General features: G+C 56.0%; 1 protein-coding gene across 2 annotated transcripts in view, besides 8 other annotated features; it reads left to right on the forward strand.

The window, feature by feature from the left end:
• JPH3 (junctophilin 3) overlaps window positions 1-17,733 on the forward strand; it is a 96,322-nt gene that overhangs the window by 54,255 nt on the left and 24,334 nt on the right. The gene's annotated exons all lie outside the window — the stretch shown is intronic.
• Window positions 1,500-2,235: an enhancer, noted in NCBI's record as "H3K27ac-H3K4me1 hESC enhancer chr16:87691195-87691930 (GRCh37/hg19 assembly coordinates)". NCBI's record gives its function as "activates a minimal SCP1, AML or CMV promoter by ChIP-STARR-seq in primed H9 embryonic stem cells {active_cell/tissue: H9 hESC(primed)}" and the evidence as "EXISTENCE:reporter gene assay evidence [ECO:0000049][PMID:30033119]".
• Window positions 1,500-2,969: a biological region, named in NCBI's record as "H3K27ac-H3K4me1 hESC enhancers GRCh37_chr16:87691195-87691930 and GRCh37_chr16:87691931-87692664".
• Window positions 1,574-1,868: an enhancer, noted in NCBI's record as "tiled region #988; HepG2 Activating non-DNase unmatched - State 20:ReprD, and K562 Activating DNase unmatched - State 20:ReprD". NCBI's record gives its function as "activates a minimal TATA promoter and a strong SV40 promoter by Sharpr-MPRA in HepG2 and K562 cells {active_cell/tissue: HepG2 | K562}" and the evidence as "EXISTENCE:reporter gene assay evidence [ECO:0000049][PMID:27701403]".
• Window positions 1,655-1,734: a silencer, noted in NCBI's record as "silent region_7839". NCBI's record gives its function as "represses an Ori minimal core promoter by ATAC-STARR-seq in GM12878 lymphoblastoid cells {active_cell/tissue: GM12878}" and the evidence as "EXISTENCE:reporter gene assay evidence [ECO:0000049][PMID:35858748]".
• Window positions 1,897-2,305: a silencer, noted in NCBI's record as "fragment chr16:87691592-87692000 (GRCh37/hg19 assembly coordinates)". NCBI's record gives its function as "represses an EF-1alpha promoter that drives an FKBP-Casp9 reporter gene in an ReSE screen in HepG2 liver carcinoma cells {active_cell/tissue: HepG2}" and the evidence as "EXISTENCE:reporter gene assay evidence [ECO:0000049][PMID:32094911]".
• Window positions 2,236-2,969: an enhancer, noted in NCBI's record as "H3K27ac-H3K4me1 hESC enhancer chr16:87691931-87692664 (GRCh37/hg19 assembly coordinates)". NCBI's record gives its function as "activates a minimal SCP1, AML or CMV promoter by ChIP-STARR-seq in naive H9 embryonic stem cells {active_cell/tissue: H9 hESC(naive)}" and the evidence as "EXISTENCE:reporter gene assay evidence [ECO:0000049][PMID:30033119]".
• Window positions 2,970-3,703: an enhancer, noted in NCBI's record as "H3K4me1 hESC enhancer chr16:87692665-87693398 (GRCh37/hg19 assembly coordinates)". NCBI's record gives its function as "activates a minimal SCP1, AML or CMV promoter by ChIP-STARR-seq in naive H9 embryonic stem cells {active_cell/tissue: H9 hESC(naive)}" and the evidence as "EXISTENCE:reporter gene assay evidence [ECO:0000049][PMID:30033119]".
• Window positions 6,276-7,226: an enhancer, noted in NCBI's record as "H3K4me1 hESC enhancer chr16:87695971-87696921 (GRCh37/hg19 assembly coordinates)". NCBI's record gives its function as "activates a minimal SCP1, AML or CMV promoter by ChIP-STARR-seq in primed H9 embryonic stem cells {active_cell/tissue: H9 hESC(primed)}" and the evidence as "EXISTENCE:reporter gene assay evidence [ECO:0000049][PMID:30033119]".

Here is a 17,733-nt window from a genome sequence, read left to right on the forward strand (position 1 = left end):
GTGAACTTCCCTTCCTGAGCTGGTCAGCCCAGTGTATGCTGTGAGCCAGGAGCCCTGAGGGCGTCTCTGCCCGCCTATCTCAGAGCACACTCTGTGTTGCAGGTGCCGTGACACCTATTTTACAGCCCAGGAAACAGAGTCTTTCATGCTGTTCCTTCCAGCCGAACCCTCAGCTGGAGTCACTCCAGAAGCCGCAGGCAGGAGAGTTCCCACAAAGGACTGGATGCACACCTTCCTGAGACGGGGGGTGGGTTAGGATTCCAGCAAAGGAAGCTCTAAACACCAGAGTGGCCAGTCCATGGCATTTGTTGGGGGACTTACAGAGGGGGCTTCAGCTTCCTGTGGGAATGGGGAGATGAGCCACGTTCTGCCCCGGTATGTCTGCAACGACGGGATCAGATTACGGAGTTCATATGAGGGTGAAGGAACTCGGCTCAGGGCCGGGCCCAGTTTCCAGGCTTGATCTTGCAGTGTTTGGGGGCAACACCCTGAATAAATGAATCAGTCAGTGCCTGGGAACATTCGAGGCCCTGGCTTGGGTTCAAGCCTGCAGGAAAAACGTGCAGCTGGCGGGTCAGGGGCAGTTAGGACAGAGGACGAGGAGGAACGGGGGCCCCTACGTGCCATGGGCATGTGCTCGTCTCTCTCCTGGTGTCCGCCTTTCTCCTCTGCCTTGTGGCTCAGCTTGGACTGCCATAACAAAATACGATAGAGTGGGTGGCAGAAATGCATTTTCTCCCCGTTCTGAAAACTGGACAGTCCAAATGCATGGTGCCTGTGGTGTTCCGACAGGGGATCACTCCTCGGGCTCCTTCTCGCTCTGTTCACGGGGCTTTCCTTGGTGCATGGAGAGGATCTCCCTCTCCTCCTCTTCTTATAAGGTCACCAGTCCCATCAGATTAGGGCCCCACCCATATGGCCTCATTTAACCTTAATTACCTCCTTAAAGGCCCTATCTCCACATATAGGCCCTTGTCATAGCGGAGGCTTCACATAGGAACCTGAGGGGGACTCAGCCTGGAGCACCTGGTGTGTTAGGAGGAGGCCAGGCCAGCGCTGAGCACCCTGCCTGTGGGTGAGCCCTGCTTCTCAAGCAACAGTAATAAATAAAAAGGAGGAGGCCAAACTGACCAGACCTAAAAAAACAGTATCTTAAGGTCTGACACCTGCCACGGCATGAATGAGCCAGAGAAAGTGATGCTGAGTGAAGGAAGCCTGTCACAAAAGGACAAATGTGGCATGTGAAATCTCTAGAACAGGGAGATTCATGGGGACAGGGAGTGGACTGGGTTACCAGGGGCTGGGGTGGGAACAACGGGGAGTGGCTTCTTCATGGGTGTAGGGTTTCTGTTGAGGGCGACGACAGTACCCTGCAAGTGGACCGGTGACCGATGCACAGCGTTGAATGTACTGAATGCCACTGAACTGTGAACTTTAAAACTGTTAAAGTGGCAAGTTTTATGTTATATTAAAAAAATCATATATAGAAAGGATGTTGTATTAAACGAGAAAAACTCATTTCTCTCAAGTACCAGTCACTCATTGTGGAGACTGCTCTTGAGGTCACTGTGCCCAGGCCTCTTCTGTCTTGAGCCAGTCCATCTCTGGGGTGTGACCCTAGCTTACCCCCATGACCACAGGAAGACCATGAGCTGGTCCTTTAAGGATGCAACCTGGGAGTTGCCCCGAGGACTGTGCTCACATTCTGTTGGCCAAAACTCGGTTACGTGACCACACCTAGCTGCAAGGGAGGCTGGGAAATGTAGTCCTTAGTCTGGGGGCATGTGCCTGGCTGACAATGGGGCTTCAGTGCTGTGGGAGAGGAGGAGCTGGTGGCTGCCAGGGGATGGACAGCTGTCTCTACCAACCTGGCCTCACAGTGGTCACGCTCCAGGACATAAATGTCCCCTCTGCAGCAAAGACTTCCTGGGTGTGGAGGGGACTGGGGGCCCACACCCTGGTCTTCACAAGATGGTCTCCTACCCCGGAAGGCACCATGCGGCCCACGCTTCAGTGTGAAGACACCACCTGTGTGTTAATGGGCCCAACACCAACCTGGGTGCAGGGCAGGTATTCAGCAAACAGTGAATGGACACCAGGGAGCTGGCTACTATAGCGACCTCCTGAGGTCGCAGGGCTACCAAACAGTGCACGGCATTTGCACCCCAGCTCAGGCGTCCCGGCAGGGATTCTGCATTGTCTGCCTTTGAAAAAAGGGTGGGAGAGTTAGGACAGGAATTTTCTCTGTTTCCCTCTCTCTCTCCTTCTCCCCGCTTCTCCCCCTCTCTTTTTCCCTTTCTCTTTTCCTCCCTCTCTGTCCCTCCCTCTCTTTTCCTCTCTATCTCCCTATCTGCTTTGCTCTCTGTCTCTCTGTCCTATTTTTCTCCATCACTCTTTGTCCTTGTCTCTTTTTCTCGTTCTCTGTCACTCCGTTTCTGCTTTTGTTCCCCCTTCTCTCTCTCTCCCCAACCCCCCTGTTTCTCTATCTCTTCACCTGTGAATTCCTGAAACAGACCCAGGGCATGATGTCGTGGAGGGCAGGCCCCAGAGGCGTCCAGGTGACACCGTGTGGGCATTTGTAAAGCAGGAGGCCCCAGCAGGTGGAGCAGGAGGACTCACCCCCCTGCAGTGGGTGGTCAAGAAGAGCTGCCTTTCCTAAGCCCCTCTCTCCTCCAGCCACCCCTCACCTGGGGCCTGCTGAGAGGGACAAGGTGGATTGGGGCTTGCTGTGGGGCTGGTGCTGAGGCAGGGGTGGGTGGCCCCCCAGCCCCTATTTCCTCCTCTCCAAACCCAGCCATCCCAGTTAATTATTTGCCCAGCAGGGCAGCTTGACTGGCTGGTGTCTTGCTGAGCAATAAGCAGCTGAATAAGGGTGCAATTGCTGGAGGCGGGGTCGCAGCTGCAGACCTGGGCGGTCACTTAGTCTGGGACAGCTGCGGCGGCCACAGCGAAAGCCATGCAGCCTGCCCCATGCCTGGCTTTGTCGCGACGGCTGCTGGAACAGACGGGTGTGGTGGCTCATGCTTGTAATCTCAGCCCTTTGGGAGGCCAAAGCAGGCGGATCACTTGAGGTCAGGAGTTAGAGACCAGCCTGGCCAACATGGCAAGATCCCCTCTCTACTGAAAATACAAAAAAATTCAGCCGGGTATGGTGGCAGGCACCTGTAATCCCAGCTACTCAGGAAGCTGAGGCATGAGAATCACTTGAACCCAGGAGGCGGAGGTTGCACTGAGCCAAGATCAAGCCACTGCACTCCAGCCTGGGTGACAGAGTAAGACTGTCTCAAAAAAAAAAAAGAAAAAAAAAAAGAAAACTACACACACATACACACAACATAAAATGTATGATTTTGGCCAGGCACAGTGGCTCACGCCTATAATCCCAGCACTGGGAGGTTGAGGTGGGTGAATCACTTGAGGTCAGGAGTTCTGGACCAGTCTGGGCCAACATGGTGAAATTCCATCTCTACTAAAAATACAAAAATTAGTAGTGTATTAGTGGGTGTGGTGACAGGTGCCTGTAATCCCAGTTACTCAGGAGGTTGAGGCAGGAGAATTGCTTGAACGCAGGAGACGAAGGTTGCAGTAAGCCGAGATAGCACCACTGCACTCCAGCCTGGGCAACAAAGCAAGACTCCATTTCAAAAAAAAAAAGGATGATTTTTAACCATTTTTAAGTGTACCGTAAGTGGCATTAAGCATGTGGTGCAACCATGACCACCATCTATCTCCAGAACTCCTTTCACCTTGCAGAAATGACACCCTGGACCCTTGAAACACTAACTCCCCCTCCCAGGTTCCCTCCCCCAGCCTGGGGATTAGGCATCTAGCAGCTGCTGTCTGGAGAGGGATAGCATGGCCCTGCTCCGTCCCTTCTGGGCCCGTTGAGCTCTGCTGTGAAGGGGATTCCTTTCCTTGTCCCTGTCACTCCTAGTGTGGAGGTCGGGGGTACCAAGCCCCAGCCCTGCCACCTGGAAACCCTGGGAAAGCAGCGTCACCTCCCTGTGCCTCAGTTTCCTCATCTGTAAAGGGGAGCTGAGGACAGGACCTGCCTCCGAGCCTGGGGAGAGACGGCAGTGCACAGGGACTAGCTGTGCGTCTCAGTAATACGGAGAGAACTTTGCAGGCCAATGGCGTCCCTCTGAGAAAGACTCTCCCTGGATTCTGTTTCAGAGAGTTGAGCTTTTCCCCAGAGCAGATGCTTTGAAACTGTCTCAGGTGGACAGAGGGGGCTGCAGGGAGGGCACAGAGGACTTCCTGGGAGTGAGGTTTCCTGGGATTGAGTCCCAGCCCTGCTGTAGGGCTGGAGTGAAAGGGGCCTCCCCAGAGAGCCTCTCCCAGGGCTCTGTCCCCAAGTGGCCAAGCTAATTCGGTTCCGTGCTCCCCTTTTGCCCACCCCCACCAGAGGCCACAGGCTGGACTGGGCGCCACTGCTCATGCTTCTGTCCTGGGATAGCACAGACCAGTACACCAGGGTCTGGCACATGTCCGTTGTAGTCACTGCAGCCCTCCCAGTCTCCCCGTTTTGTAGAGGAAGCCACAGCTCGGGGCAAAGCCGCACCTCGCAGTGGACAGGTGAGTCTCTGCCTCCCCACCAGCTGCCTCTTCCACAGATGGACCCCCAATCACACTGTCATATCGCCTGTCTGAGCCTCACTGTGCTAGTCTGTAGGAGGGGGCACCTCCTCTTGGGCCATCCATATAAGGCTGGAGACAAACAGCTCCACCCAGTTATGGGAGTCCCATGCCATCCAGGACACATCCAAGTGGATCTCTCATAGCCTATCATGGTTCCTCCAAGACTCAGTTTTCTCATCTGTCCAGTGGAATGACAATGGTACAGGCTGTGAGAATCCCTTATCTGAAATGACTGGGATCAGAAGTGTTTCGGATCTTGGCTTTAAGTTGTAGAATATTTGTATGCACATAATGAGATATCGTGAGGATGGGACCCAAGTCTAAACACGAAATTTATAATACATAAGTTTCTGGAGGCTCCAGGGAGAATGTGTTCCTTGCCTTTCCCAGCTTCCAGAGGCCGCCTGCGTTCCTTGGCTCGAGGTCCCTCCTCCACCTTCAGAGCCAGCGGGGCAGCCTCTCCTCTCCTCTCCGACCTCCTGCCTCCCTCTTACAAGGACCCTTGTGGTTCGGGGTCATCTGATTATCCACCCAGATAATCCAGGGTCATCTCTCTCTTTCCTGATCCTTAACTCAGTCATATCTGCAAAGTCCCTTTTGCCACATAAGGGGACACATTCACAGACGGGTTCTGGGGATCAAAACAGGGACATCTTTGAGGGCTGTGTTTCTGCTGACCACGCTCTCCTCTGGGCCTGCCCTTTGCATCTGCAGATAGCAGTGGACTCTCTTTAGGGGGAGCAAAGCCTCCCGCTCTGAGCATGGGCTGGACTTTGGGGGTCCAGGACTGGGGAGGGGTCGACATTGTAGGTCACCACCATGTGTGACTGTCCAGGGAGGCTGGGGGATGAAACAGCCGAGGGTCTGACTGGGGGAGAGCCGAGAACACACCCCACTTTATCCGGAAGGCCAGCCATGTCTGCTCAGAGACGAAGAGTCACGGGACAGCCCTGTCCAAGAGCAAAGACCCGTCCAAGAGCAGGGTCAGCACCTCGGAGAGTTCCCCGCAGGCCGCCACGGGGCGGGGAGAGAATTCATGGGGCTTCGACTTAGAAGGGGAACATACAATGCTGTGGTTTTCACTGCCTCTGGGTGCAACTCAGCATTTCCCCAATTACGAAGCCAGGGCCTTGGCCCCCAGCAGGAAGCCTGGGGTATTTCATTGCCTCACACTCACGTCCCATCTGCTGAGGGGCACGTACGCCACCACTACTCCTGAGTGGCAGTTGATTTTACGCTCACAGATTCGTCCTGTTATTTAGTATGTTAATTCAGGCGGCTATGCATGGTTGTCTCACAAATTTGATTTTTAAGGAATTTAACATTTCAAAATACTTGGTTTCCCTTGTAACCCCTCACCTTTTATTTTCTGTACCTACGGTCATCCCTCAAGAGGGATCCGTAGGCCTCCCCTGCCTGCCCTGGGCACAGGGACATCCCGAAGCGCCGGTCCCAGAGCCTGGGCTCTGCTGCTGTTTCTCTGTGACTTGAGGCAAGATATCCTACGCTGCCGAGATAGCAGCCCCTCTGCCTGGGGAGGTGAGTGTGAGGAACCCGGTGTACTCTGTCGATGTTTAAGGGTCAGTGGGCGCCGAATGAATGGTTTCTGTCAGCAGCACATTCTGCATCTCCCAAAACCAAAACCAAAAGGACAGCCGGATTTTCCCCTCTGCCTGACTTCACTAGGCTCGCGTCTGATTTTTTTTTTTTAGCACCGTCAGCATAAGGGCCTGGGTTTATTTTGTGGTTGTTTATAGTGGAATTGGGTGTAGTGTCCTGATTTGTTTTCCAGGATGTTCGTTTTGGGGTCAAGGGTCTTTGGGGTGGATGAGGCGGGAGAACCAGGCTTGAGTGAGGCTCTGCCCTCCTTTCCTGGCCCCCTGGTGGCCCCTCCAGAGTCTGTCCCGGCCATGGACCCCAGTCCCCGCTGAGCCATGCGGAGAGTTTGGGAGAAGTGCATACCTGCCTTGGGGGCTTGACTGGCAGGCTGCTTTCCTCTGGCTCATCTTGAAGTTAAAATGTAGCTCAGACCCTCCTCAGCCCCCACGCAGGGTTGCAACCTCTTCCGTCTGTCTCCCTGTGAAATCCACCTTCCAGGGGGCAGCCTGGGACCTGGGATGGCCCTCCCTACCTGAAACCTTTCAGGCCTTCCACTGCCTGCAGGGAAAAGCACCGGCTCCTTTCACGGACTTCCAGCACCCCTTCGGGGCTGCTGCTGCCTGGTTGGTAAGCCCTGAGCTCACTAATCTCAGCCGTCACATGCTGTTGGGCACCAGCCTGTCTCTTTGGACCATAAAAACGCCATGTTGGGTTGGCAGGATAAGTCGGCAAGTTTTGATCCAGGGCTACAGATTTCCTGGTTGTATTGTTTCAAGGTTAATTTCTTTCTTTTTTTTTTTGAGATGGAGTCGCGCCCTGTCACCCAGGCTGGAGTGCAGTGGCACAATCTCGGCTCACTGCAACTTCCGCCTCCCAGGTTCAAGCAATTCTCCTGCCTCAGCCTCCCAAGTAGTTGGGACTACAGGCCTGTGCCACGTGTCCAGCTAATTTTTGTATCTTTAGTAGAGACAAGGCTTCACCACGTTGGTCAGGCTGGTCTCAAACTCCTGACCTCAAGTGCTCCACCTGCCTTGGCCTCCCAAACTACTGGGATTATAGGCATGTGCCACTGTGCCTGGCCAAGGTTAATTTCTTGATAGAGTTGGACAGTCGGTTTTGCTACAAAGCTTGTTTTGAAAATGAGAGTTGGTTCCAGCATGATTGATATATCAGGGAACAGTTTCAAGATAACACAAGTTTCCCGTTTTCCTTTGTGAGATTTCACCCACCAGAAGCACTGGGTGAACACAGCCACTGCCCCCAGCTGGCCTGATGCACCTGTGTTCACATAGGAACACATAGGATGCATACGCACCTCACACAGCCCCAGCCGCCCCAGGGACCCCATCCTCGTCAGGGCACAACTTCCCCGTCTCCACTGCCCCGTCTCTGCCACTCTGCACCAGCTCTCCAGCCCACCTCCCTCGGTAAACTTACAGCGTTTTCAAGCCCAAGTGCCGTGTTAATGTGTCTCTGAACCCCTTGACATGTGAAGCTGTGCTGCCGTTTTTATTAGGGTTTCTGTCTGTTTTGAGTGCCCTTTCCCTAACCCCATTCCCCAACAAGCCCTGTGGTTTTGACTGTGCGGTTTTGCATGCAGTGATTTCTAGGAATGCAGACGTCGAGTTGTGGTGGAATCGACTCTTCTGTGCTCATGTGAGGGAATGGCCTTGTTTTGAGGAAATATGCGCTGAAGTACTCAGGGGTTAAAAATCATATGGCCAGCTGGGCGCGGTGGCTCACGCCTGTAATCCCAGCACTTTGGGAGGCCGAGGCGGGTGGATCACGAGGTCAGCAGATTGATAGCATCCTGGCTAACACGGTGAAACCTCGTCTCTACTAAAAATATAAAAAATTAGCTGGGCGTGGTGGAAGGCGCCTGTAGTCCCAGCTACATGGGAGGCTGAGGCAGGAGAATGGCGTGAACCCGGGAGGCGGAGCTTGCAGTGAGCCGAGATTGCGCCACTGCACCTCCAGCCTGGGCGACAGAATGAGACTCTGTCTGAAAAAAAAAAAAAATCATATGGCCCGTCAGGCGCGGTGGCTCACGCAGTTTGGGAGGCTGAGGTGGGTGGATCACTTGAGGTCAGGAGTTCGAGACCAGCCTGGCCAACATGGTGAAACCCTGTCTCTACTAAAGATACAAAAATTAGCCGGGCGTGGTGGCATGCGCCTGTAATCCCAGCTACTGAGGAGACTGAGGCAGGAGAATTGCTTGAACCTGGGAGGCGGAGGTTGCAGTGAGCCGAGATCGCGCCATTGCACTCCAGCCTGGGCAACAAGAGTGAAACTCCGTCGCAAAAAATAGTAATAATTCGTCCGTCTCCTCGGCGAGTGGAGGCTGGGGCCAGGGTGGAACAGGAGCTCCACGGTGAGCCACCCCGGAGTGAAGGCCACTGGCCCTCCTTATCCTTGCTGCGGTGTGGGGGTGTGGGTGTATGACCCACAGCTCACATGTGGAAACATGGAGGCCCCGGGGCCTGTGTGACTTGCCCAGGGTCCCAGCTAGCAGGTGGCAGAGCAAGACCTGTATGCAGAGGCCCAAGGAAGCGTCATGAGGACCCAGGTCACCAGTGCATCTCCAGGGTGAACCTGGCCCCTGCCCAGCGCATTTGCCTGTCCCCTGAAACCGCCACCACACAAAACCATGTGCATCTTCAGAGCAGGAGGCGTCTCCACCATCTGTTTGCTCCCGTTTGACAAATGGTCGGTGCTCCTTGAACGGATAAACAGGAACCATCCGGCCCTCTTCCTTGCCGGAGCTCATCCCTTTGACTCCAGGGAGGGAGGTCATGAGCACCACAGTCTTTATGGGGGAGATCACTGGCCTGCCCCTGGGCGGAGAAGCCAAACTAGAACCTTCTCCCCAGGGTGAGCTCACAGGCTTTTCCCATCCGGGACCCCTGAGCCGATTGGCTGCCCGGGACCTGCTGTTATATCGGGGGCTCCCATTGCAAAGCCCCTGCGTGGGCTGGCTTCCCCGGGTTTGGTTTCTCCCCATTGTGCAGGGTCTTGGGGTAGGGTCTGAGCCAGGTCACCCTGGAGAACCGACAGCACCGGCCCAGCCCCGCTGTGACCTGCTGACCCCGGACCCCGCACTTTGCTTAGTGCTTTAGGTCTGTAGGAGTAATCTTTGGAGAATCGTGATTCTGGGACCCGAGCTCTGAGGGAACAACCTCCTCTGAGCCTCCCAAGGCCCCCCAACATTGTGGGGTGAGCCCCACCTCACAGATGCTGAGACAGGCCTAGAGGCGTGGCGCTCCCAGCCCCATGCCCCACATAGCTCTAAGGCCTGGCCTCACTTGCAGGTGAGGGTCCTAGGAAGCTGGGGGTGGGAGCAGGCCTAGGAGAGGCACTCAACAACCACGGCTCAGCATGGTCTAGAACTGCCCCCTCTTCCTCCCGGCTGCCCCGAGTCTGGCTTCCGTCAGACCCAGCCTCCTTCCCCAGCCCATCCCTCTCCCTCTTTGATGAGGCCGATGGGGCAAAGACCTTTGCTTCCCAGAATGTTCTGTCCCTGGTTGGAACACTGGTCCCTGGGACACAGCCCTGTCCTCAGCTTTGAAGTCAGTTCCCATCGCTGCCCCCCAGGTAGCTGGCTGGCTTCTGCCAACCTCAGCCTGGTCGCAGCTGGCACCTCCTCACCAGGTACTAAACCAGGGTGTGCAGAGGCCCGCTCGATCCATGGGGCAGATCAGCAAATGGTAGTGCAGGATGCCCCATCATATGTGAATATCAGGTAAATAACAGGTACTTCTTTTTTTCTCTTTTTTTTTTTTTTGAGACAGAGTTTCGCTCATTGCCCAGGCTGGAGTGCAGCGGCATGGTCTTGGTTCACTGTAGCCTCTGCCTCCCTGATTTAAGCAGTTCTCCTGCCTCAGGCTCCCAAGTATCTGGGATTACAGGCACCTGCCACCATGCCCAGCTAATTTTTATATTTTTAGTAGAGACAGGGTTTCATCATGTTGGTCAGGCTGGTCTAGAACTCCTGACCTCAGGTGATCCGCTCCCCTCGACCTCTCAAAGTGCTTATATTACAGGCATGAGCCACCGCGCCTGGCCTATTTTTTTTTTTTTCCCTTGGCAACAGGGTCTTGCTCTTTTGCCCAGGCTGGAGTACAGTGGCGCAGTCATGGCTCACTTCAGCCTCAAATTCCTGGGCTCAAGTGAGCCTCTCACCTTAGCCTCCTAAGCAGCTGCAACTACAGGTGTGCACCACCATGCCTTACTAATTTTCTTTAAAATTTTTTTGTAGAGATAGGGGTCTCCCTATGTTGGTCAGGCTGGTCTCAAACTCCTGGGCTCAAGCCAGAGAGGGGCTGGCCTGGTGCTCTGGGTTCTCCAGACCCCCTCCTGCCTTGGTCTCCCACAGTGCTGGGATTACAGGATGAGCCACGGTGCATGGCCACCTGATGGATAATGTCTAATATAAGAGAACCCCTAATTTAGCTGTCCCTGTACCCTTGTGAGGTGAGCAGTATTGTTGCCTACATTCTATAGATGGGGAAACAGAGGCCACAGAGGCCTAGCAGCCTGCCTCGTCACCGAGTGGGAGCTTGGCAGGGCTGGGATCTGAACCCAGGCCGTCGGCTCCTGGGCCTGTGTGCCCCCTCCATGACCATATCAGCTTCCTACAGCTTCCATGACAAAGCACCACAAAACCGGAGGCTTAAACACAGAAACGCAGTCCCCCAGCTCCGGGCAGAAGCTCGAGACGAGGGTGTGGCAGGGCCGTGCCCCCTCTGCAGCCTCTGGGGAGGGTCCCTTCCGGCTTCTGGGGGCTGCCGGCCTCCCTGGAGTGGCCACGTCACTTGTTGCTGCTGTCTCCCTCGTCACGTGGCCTCTCCTTCTCTGTCTCTTAGCTCCCTCTGCCCCGTCCTGAGCACAGCTGTGATTGCATTAGGGCCCACCTGTATAACCGAGGATGCCCTCTTCTCAAGAGCCGTACCTTGATCTCATCTGCAGAGATGCTTTTCCCGACGTGAATGGAATATTCTGAGGATTAGGACGTGGACCTACCTTGTTAGGGGCCACCATTCAGCTGACTGTCTTTGCCAAGCACAGGCAGTGGAGACTGTGTCATGCTCTGATCCGAACAATCGTCCTTCTGTCTGCCGCCCGACTTCCCCAGCCCTGTTCAGAAAGACAGAAGGAACTCCTGCCCCACCCTAAGCTGAAGTCGGGAGCGTGAGGACCCTTTATCTGGTCTTTGGGGGCCAGGTGGGTTCACGGGCACAGGACAGCATGACAGGCAGGGCCTGGCATTGGGACACCTGGGTCTTAGTCCTCACCTGTGACAGCGGGGGGTCTTGGGCAACGTCCCACCCCTCTCTGGGCCTTGAAGATGAAGGGGTTAGATCCTGGCCTCCCGGAGCTTCCCCTGGTGTAGGATCAACACACTTTTTCTGTCAAGGACTAGAGAGTATTTTAGGCTTTGCTGGCCCTGTAGTCTAAGTCACATACTCTTCTCTGTCTGTTTTTGTTTGTTTTGTTTTGTTTTGTTTTGTTTTTGTTTTTCCTACAACCCCTTTAAAATGCAAAACCCGTTCCTAGCTCCAGGCCATGGCTGCCATTGGGCTGTGTTGAGCCTGTGGCGCGTGCACAGGCCCCTGCCCTTGGTGGACACTCTGATTCCACCTGCAAATCCTGAGCGCACACCGGCTCTGAACAGGCTCTGTGGCTTCAGAAACTTATCTTCTGGCTTCGTCGATCTGGCTGGTTTGCCCTGGGGATCCCGCATCCTCTGACTACCGTGATGAGCAGAGCGCAGCGCCCGGCTCCGTGGGCCAACTTTTGGTGTCTTGCCCTGCCTGAGCCTGTTCCTCCTTCCTCTCCCTGCCCCTCCAGCCGCTCCGGGTCCTCTGGGAAGCTCTGGCCTCTTCACCAGCCCTGCGCGGCTGCTGGATCTGGAGGCCGGAGCCGGCACATGCGTCTGACAGCAGCGCTGCTGTCTCTTGTTTTTCGTGGTCCATGTTTGGGGGTTACATCTGGGCCTGTCCCTTCTCTGTGTAGCCTGAAGGCAGTTCCCAGGCTTGTGTCCCTCACCTCTCCGCAGACGCCCTTTCCAGATCCTGTTCAAATCCTGGCCCTACTCACGGGAACTTGGGTGAGTCAGTTCCCTTCACTGAGCCTTCATGCCTCCCTGTTAAGGAGAAGCTTCACTCGGCATGGCGTGGCCCGTCACACTCATCCTGCATCTGTTACACCAAATGCAGTTTCCTCTTCTATAAATGGGAGAAAATCACCTGTCCTTGCCAAGGGTCCGGTGGGAATTAAATGAGCTGAGCCAGGGCACGGGTGGAGCTTGCTGAGTGTTAGGTCGTGTGCCTGCTCTTCTTGGCGGAGTCTGGCCAGATACCTCATCTGGTTCCATTGCTGTCAGTCTCTAAATGGGGCCTTTCCTGCCCAGCTCCCAGCCCTGGTGCTCACACCATCACAGGCCAAAGAACTGGATTCCAGACACTGCCTCCTCCACTGTCCCCACAGTGAAAATGGGGAGGGATGTCCCTGTGGAGCCCTAACTGGGACCCAGACAGCCCTACCCCCAGCTCCCACCCCCTCCGGCTGTCCCGGAGGCCGTGCTCCGTGGATCTCCTCTCCCTCGCCTCCACGTGGGCTCCAGGTAGCTGCACACGCATTACAAACATCTCGTTAATCTTCTCGGAGGTCCTGCGAGGCGAGGCCTGTGGTAGCCCTGCCCTTGGAGCACTGAGAATTAGTAAGGAAATCGCCGCTGCATCTCCCGGTGGCACAGGGGCGTGGAGGCGTGGCGGGCCTTCCCTCTTGCACCACTTTGGATCCTGGGTCCTCACAGCAGTGTTCTCTGCAGGGGAGGTGCAGGCATTGGTCTGCTCTAGGGCCAGGTGGTCTAAAAAGTCCCTGGTCAGCCCCGAGTCCTGCAGGAATCTGCATGTTAGTGGGATTTGGGGTTCAGGATGCTTGCCTGCTGGGTAGGATGGGGTTGCTGAGTGAGGCTGAAATCCCAGATGGGATGTCTGGGCTCCTCCATGCCTGACTTGGGAGGGGTGAGAAAAGGAAGGAGACTTGGCCATCTTTAGGCTAAAAGCCTAGTGCTGTCTCACAGGAGGGAAGAGCAGGTCTCTGCAACACACGCCTGGGGTTCCGTCCCCTCTGGCCACTTGTCTGTCACCTTGGACACGTTGCCTGGCAGCCTCTGAGCCTCAGTGTGCTTCTGTGAATTGGGGTGACCCTAGCACGGTGCTCACGACAGAAAGCATGGGAGTGCAGACGTGGGTCAGTGGCCCGCGGTGAGAGCTCCCTGTCTGCCCCATGGTGAGTTTCCACAGCAGTGAGAGAGGCCTGGCGTGTGGGGTGGAGGCCGGGACAGTGTGAGGGCCGCCTGGTCAGAGCGGGAGGCAGGACCCCGTAGGGAGATGAAAGCCAAGCTGGACCCAGGCAGAAAAAGAGGAACGAAGGACAGGAAGTCCAAGAGCAGTCACTGCTGACGTGAGTGCGGCCTGCAGGCAGCCAGTGTGGATGGACTCTCAGGCCCTCCGTTGTGTGTTAGGGGACCGGAGGAGCAGAGAGGTTGCAGCAGCCGGCCGGCCTCTCTCGGTGAGGGCCGGACTGCACATGGGGCTCAGAGGCCGTGGGTGTGCCTGCCCGCCTGTGTCAGCTCCAGCCGTGGGGGCGGGGGTAATCCGAGGCTGCGTCCCGAGGCTGTGGGAGCTCTGCCTTCATCCTTCCATTCACAGGTAGGGACACAGGCGTGGGGATTCCACGGTGCCCTTGAGGCAGCTGTTTCCTAGACCCCCAAGGCCCTGACGGAGACTCCCCCACCCCTCAGGAGCAGAGGGTGAGGCGGGGTCTGCACCGGCCGATGTGGGCAACTGTTGCACCCTCGGAGCCCAGCAGCGAGGGTGGGGGTCTGTGGGGAGTCAGCCGCAGCCACCAGCATTGCTGGAATGTGTCAGAATGGTGGTGCCTCCTGCAAACAACCTTAGCCTCTGTTCATCCTGTCACCAGGGTCCTGGGAGAAGCAAACCCACGTGTGGCCTCTGCAGGGTGGGTGGGGAGGTTCTCCCGGCCAGGCCTGACTGACGCCCCTGCTGCTCCCTGTGGTCCAGCCTGGACTTGCCACCGATTATTCTATCAATGGCACTGCACTGGGCACCAGGATCCAAGCAGTGGACTGCGGGACAGGACCTGTCCCTGTGAGCGGCCTGTCCCTCTCCCCAGGCCCAGCCTCCTGTTGGTTATCCTTCCAAGCCCATGCCTGGGCTGTGCGATCCACCTTTCCTCCAGGCACTCTTCAGGCAAATCTCTGGAGCACCCACTGGGTGCCACACACTGCGGATGGGACGCAGGGTACCGCACAGCCCCGGTCCTCAGGGACCCGGCGGGGACAGCACTGGTGAAAAACCACGGAAGTACATTGATGTGTCACTTCAACAGGGGCCTACGCAGGGGCCTGCCCTGTGCCAGGCCCTGTCGTTGGTTTGTGGGGTGAAGACCCTGTTCCTATGGTGTGGACGTGGTAGAGATCCAGGGGCTCTGGCAGCTTGTATGGGGGAATGGGGACGGGAGGGGGGTCAGGAATGGGCTTCTCGAGAGAAGTGACATTTGGTCAGAGGCCCAAGAGCGGGAATTGATCCTGGCCCTCCCTGAATCAGTGTGGTGTGACCCCTCCCGCCAAGGTGAGGGTAGCAAGGTGCCTGGGGCTGGAATCCTGGGGCTGTGGCCCGTACAGTCGCCCGGGACCCATGCCCAGCAGGGCCCTGCACCCGGAGTTTAACACTGAGGTCCCCACCTTGAAATTCCTAATCATTGAGTCTTTGTAACTTGTGTTAGGGAGTCCAGCGAGACAATGGGGTATGTGCGGGGTCTTTGGAGCTTCAGCCCATGCACAGACACGTCTCTCTGTTCCTCGACTCCTAGCATGCTCTCACCTGCCTGCCCCAGAGACCAAGCCCCACCTGGCCCCTTCGTCACCCCGAGGTGGCGACTGGGTTGTGCTGAAGGAGGGAGGCCCACACGCCACCACTGCCCTCTGACCCGTCAGGGGCCCCGAGGGCCTGGTTGGTCAGGGCTGGGCACTCCACCCACCCCGGATGACAGCACCAGGCTCATGTGCCAGGTGACTCAGCCAGGGCCACTCACCAGCGCCACCTGGTATGTCCTGGGTGGCGGCCGCTGTGCCTGCTCCTATCCACCATGGTTGGGCACTGGCTGGGAAGAGAGGTGACCACCAGGCCCTAATAGCAGGAGTCACCCACACAACCCTTGTACCCAGCCCTGGGGTCCAGGCCGCCTGCACCGGCTCAGTTCTGCGCCTGAGCTCCCAGCTCTGGGGTCCAGGCCACCTGCACCGGCTCAGCCCTGCACCCGGGCTCCCAGTGCTGGGGTCCCCCACCCCTTGGTGTTGCCGCATCCTCCCTGGGCCCAAGATTCCTGGAGCTGGAGAACCCCCTTCCTCCCTGAGGCATGGAGACTGGGCTGGTCCTGAGCCCACTCCAGGCACAGGGGACACACCTGCTTCCTTCTTAACTGAGTAGAGCAGAGTTATTTTGAAGATCGGTTTTCAGCAGGACAGTAAAAAGGCGAACTGGGAGATTGTTCATGCAGCAGCTTCTAAAACCAGTTTTTAGATAAATGCACCTTCGTCTGTGGGGGGTGGCCGCACCCAGCCTCGCTTCAGGTGCCTGACGGGGTACGTGCTGCGTTCAGTCCCAGGCAGGTGTAGGGCTGGGCAGGTGGAGATGCGGTGCCCTCGCTCAACCGGGGTCTAGGCTCCTCGCCGGGCGGGGTTCACCTGCTATCCCCAGTGTGTGGGGGCGGGGGTGTGGGGTGAGGGAGAAGAGTGGGGCACTGAGTCTAAACATAGGCTGTGGCCTGTAGGTGAGGGGAGGCGGCAGCAAGGAGGGGGAGATCAACTCCTGAAGAGACTCCGTTTCTAACACGCCGGGAGCCCTGCGCTTTGTCATGGAAACTGGCAAGAGTCCCTCTCCATCCCTCCCTACTCCCAGAAACAAGATGGTCCCAGGCTAACGGGCTTCTCTCTGGCCTGGCCCTGCTCCCAGACCCCCGCTGAGGGTGGTAAACACCCCAGCCGCGCCCTTGGCAGGGGTTCCGTCCCAGGGGCCTCCCTGTTCTCACTGTGAGGGTGGGCATGATGGGCAGCTTTGCGGAGCCTCCTCAGCACAGAGCCGCACATGACGGGGGTGGACAGACTGTGGCCCCACAGCCGTCCATCACTTTCATCCTGTATTGGGGGAGAACGGGGCTTGCTTGAGGTCTGTCCTGGATATTCGTAATGCTGGCATTGACGGGGCCAGTGAAGGCTCTGATTGGTGCGGGTGACGAGGACACAGTCGCAGCAGGCGTAGACCACCAGAGCAGGGTGTCCACGTGGCTGGCCACGTTTAGTTGATAAAAGTGGCATCTATAAATGGGTGGTGGTGCGGAATGGGTGGTTGATTAAATGGTATTGGGCCGCTCAGGTGGCCATTGGGGAAAGGTAAAGCTGGATCCCTACCTCATACCAAAATTATTCTAGGTGGATAAAAAGTTTAAATGTAGGCCAGGCAGTGGCTTGTGCCTATAATCTCAGCACTTTGGGAGGCCGACATGGGCACATCACCTAAGGTCAGGAGTTCAAGACCAGCTTGGCCAACATGGTGAAATGCCATCTCTACTAAAAATACAAAAAATTACCTTTGCGTGGTAGCACGTGCACGTAATCCCGGCTACTTGGGAGGTTGAGGCAGGAGAATCGCTTAAACCCAGGAGGCGGAGGTTGCAGTGGGCCGAGATCGCACCGTTGCACTCCAGACTGGGCGACACAGTGCGACTCTGTCATTAAAAAAAAAAAAAGTTTAAATGTAAAACATAATAAAAGCTGGTTTCCTTACTGCATAAAACACTTCTACAAATCGACAAGAAAAAAAAATCAACCGCACTCTTAATAACAGAAATGTAAATTAAAACTACAAGGAGATAATGCTGGGTTTCACTTGTCTTGGGAGAGATTTAAAAAAAAAAACTGATCTACTGAATTACAGAAGATGCGAGGAAACAGACCCCCTCGTGCTTTGCTCGTGGGGGTGTAAATGTCCTCCCTGGAGAGAAAATTGTGAATCTCTAGCAAAGTTCAGACCCCAGGAACATTTAAACTGCAGCTTTAATTCAACAGCGGCACTTCTGGAAGTATCTTCTGAAGATGGATTTGTGTGTGAAATATCAAATATACAAGGTTGTTATTAGACTGTGAATTCTAATAGGAGAACATGGAAGACAGCCTTCATGTCCATCAGCATGGGCGGACTTCATGTGTTCTGGAACGGTCATTAAAACAAGAGGCTGGGCACGGTGGCTCACACCTGTAATCCCAGTACTTTGGGAGGCTGAGGCGAGAGGATCACCTGAGGTCAGGAGTTCGAGACCAGCCTGACCAACATGGCGAAACCCTGTCTCTACTAAAAATATAAAAATGAGCTGGGTGTGATGGCGGGCACCTGTAATCCCAGCTACTTGGGA

This window comes from Homo sapiens, chromosome 16 (assembly GCF_000001405.40).
Source record: "Homo sapiens chromosome 16, GRCh38.p14 Primary Assembly".
Taxonomy (NCBI): Eukaryota; Metazoa; Chordata; class Mammalia; order Primates; family Hominidae; genus Homo; species Homo sapiens.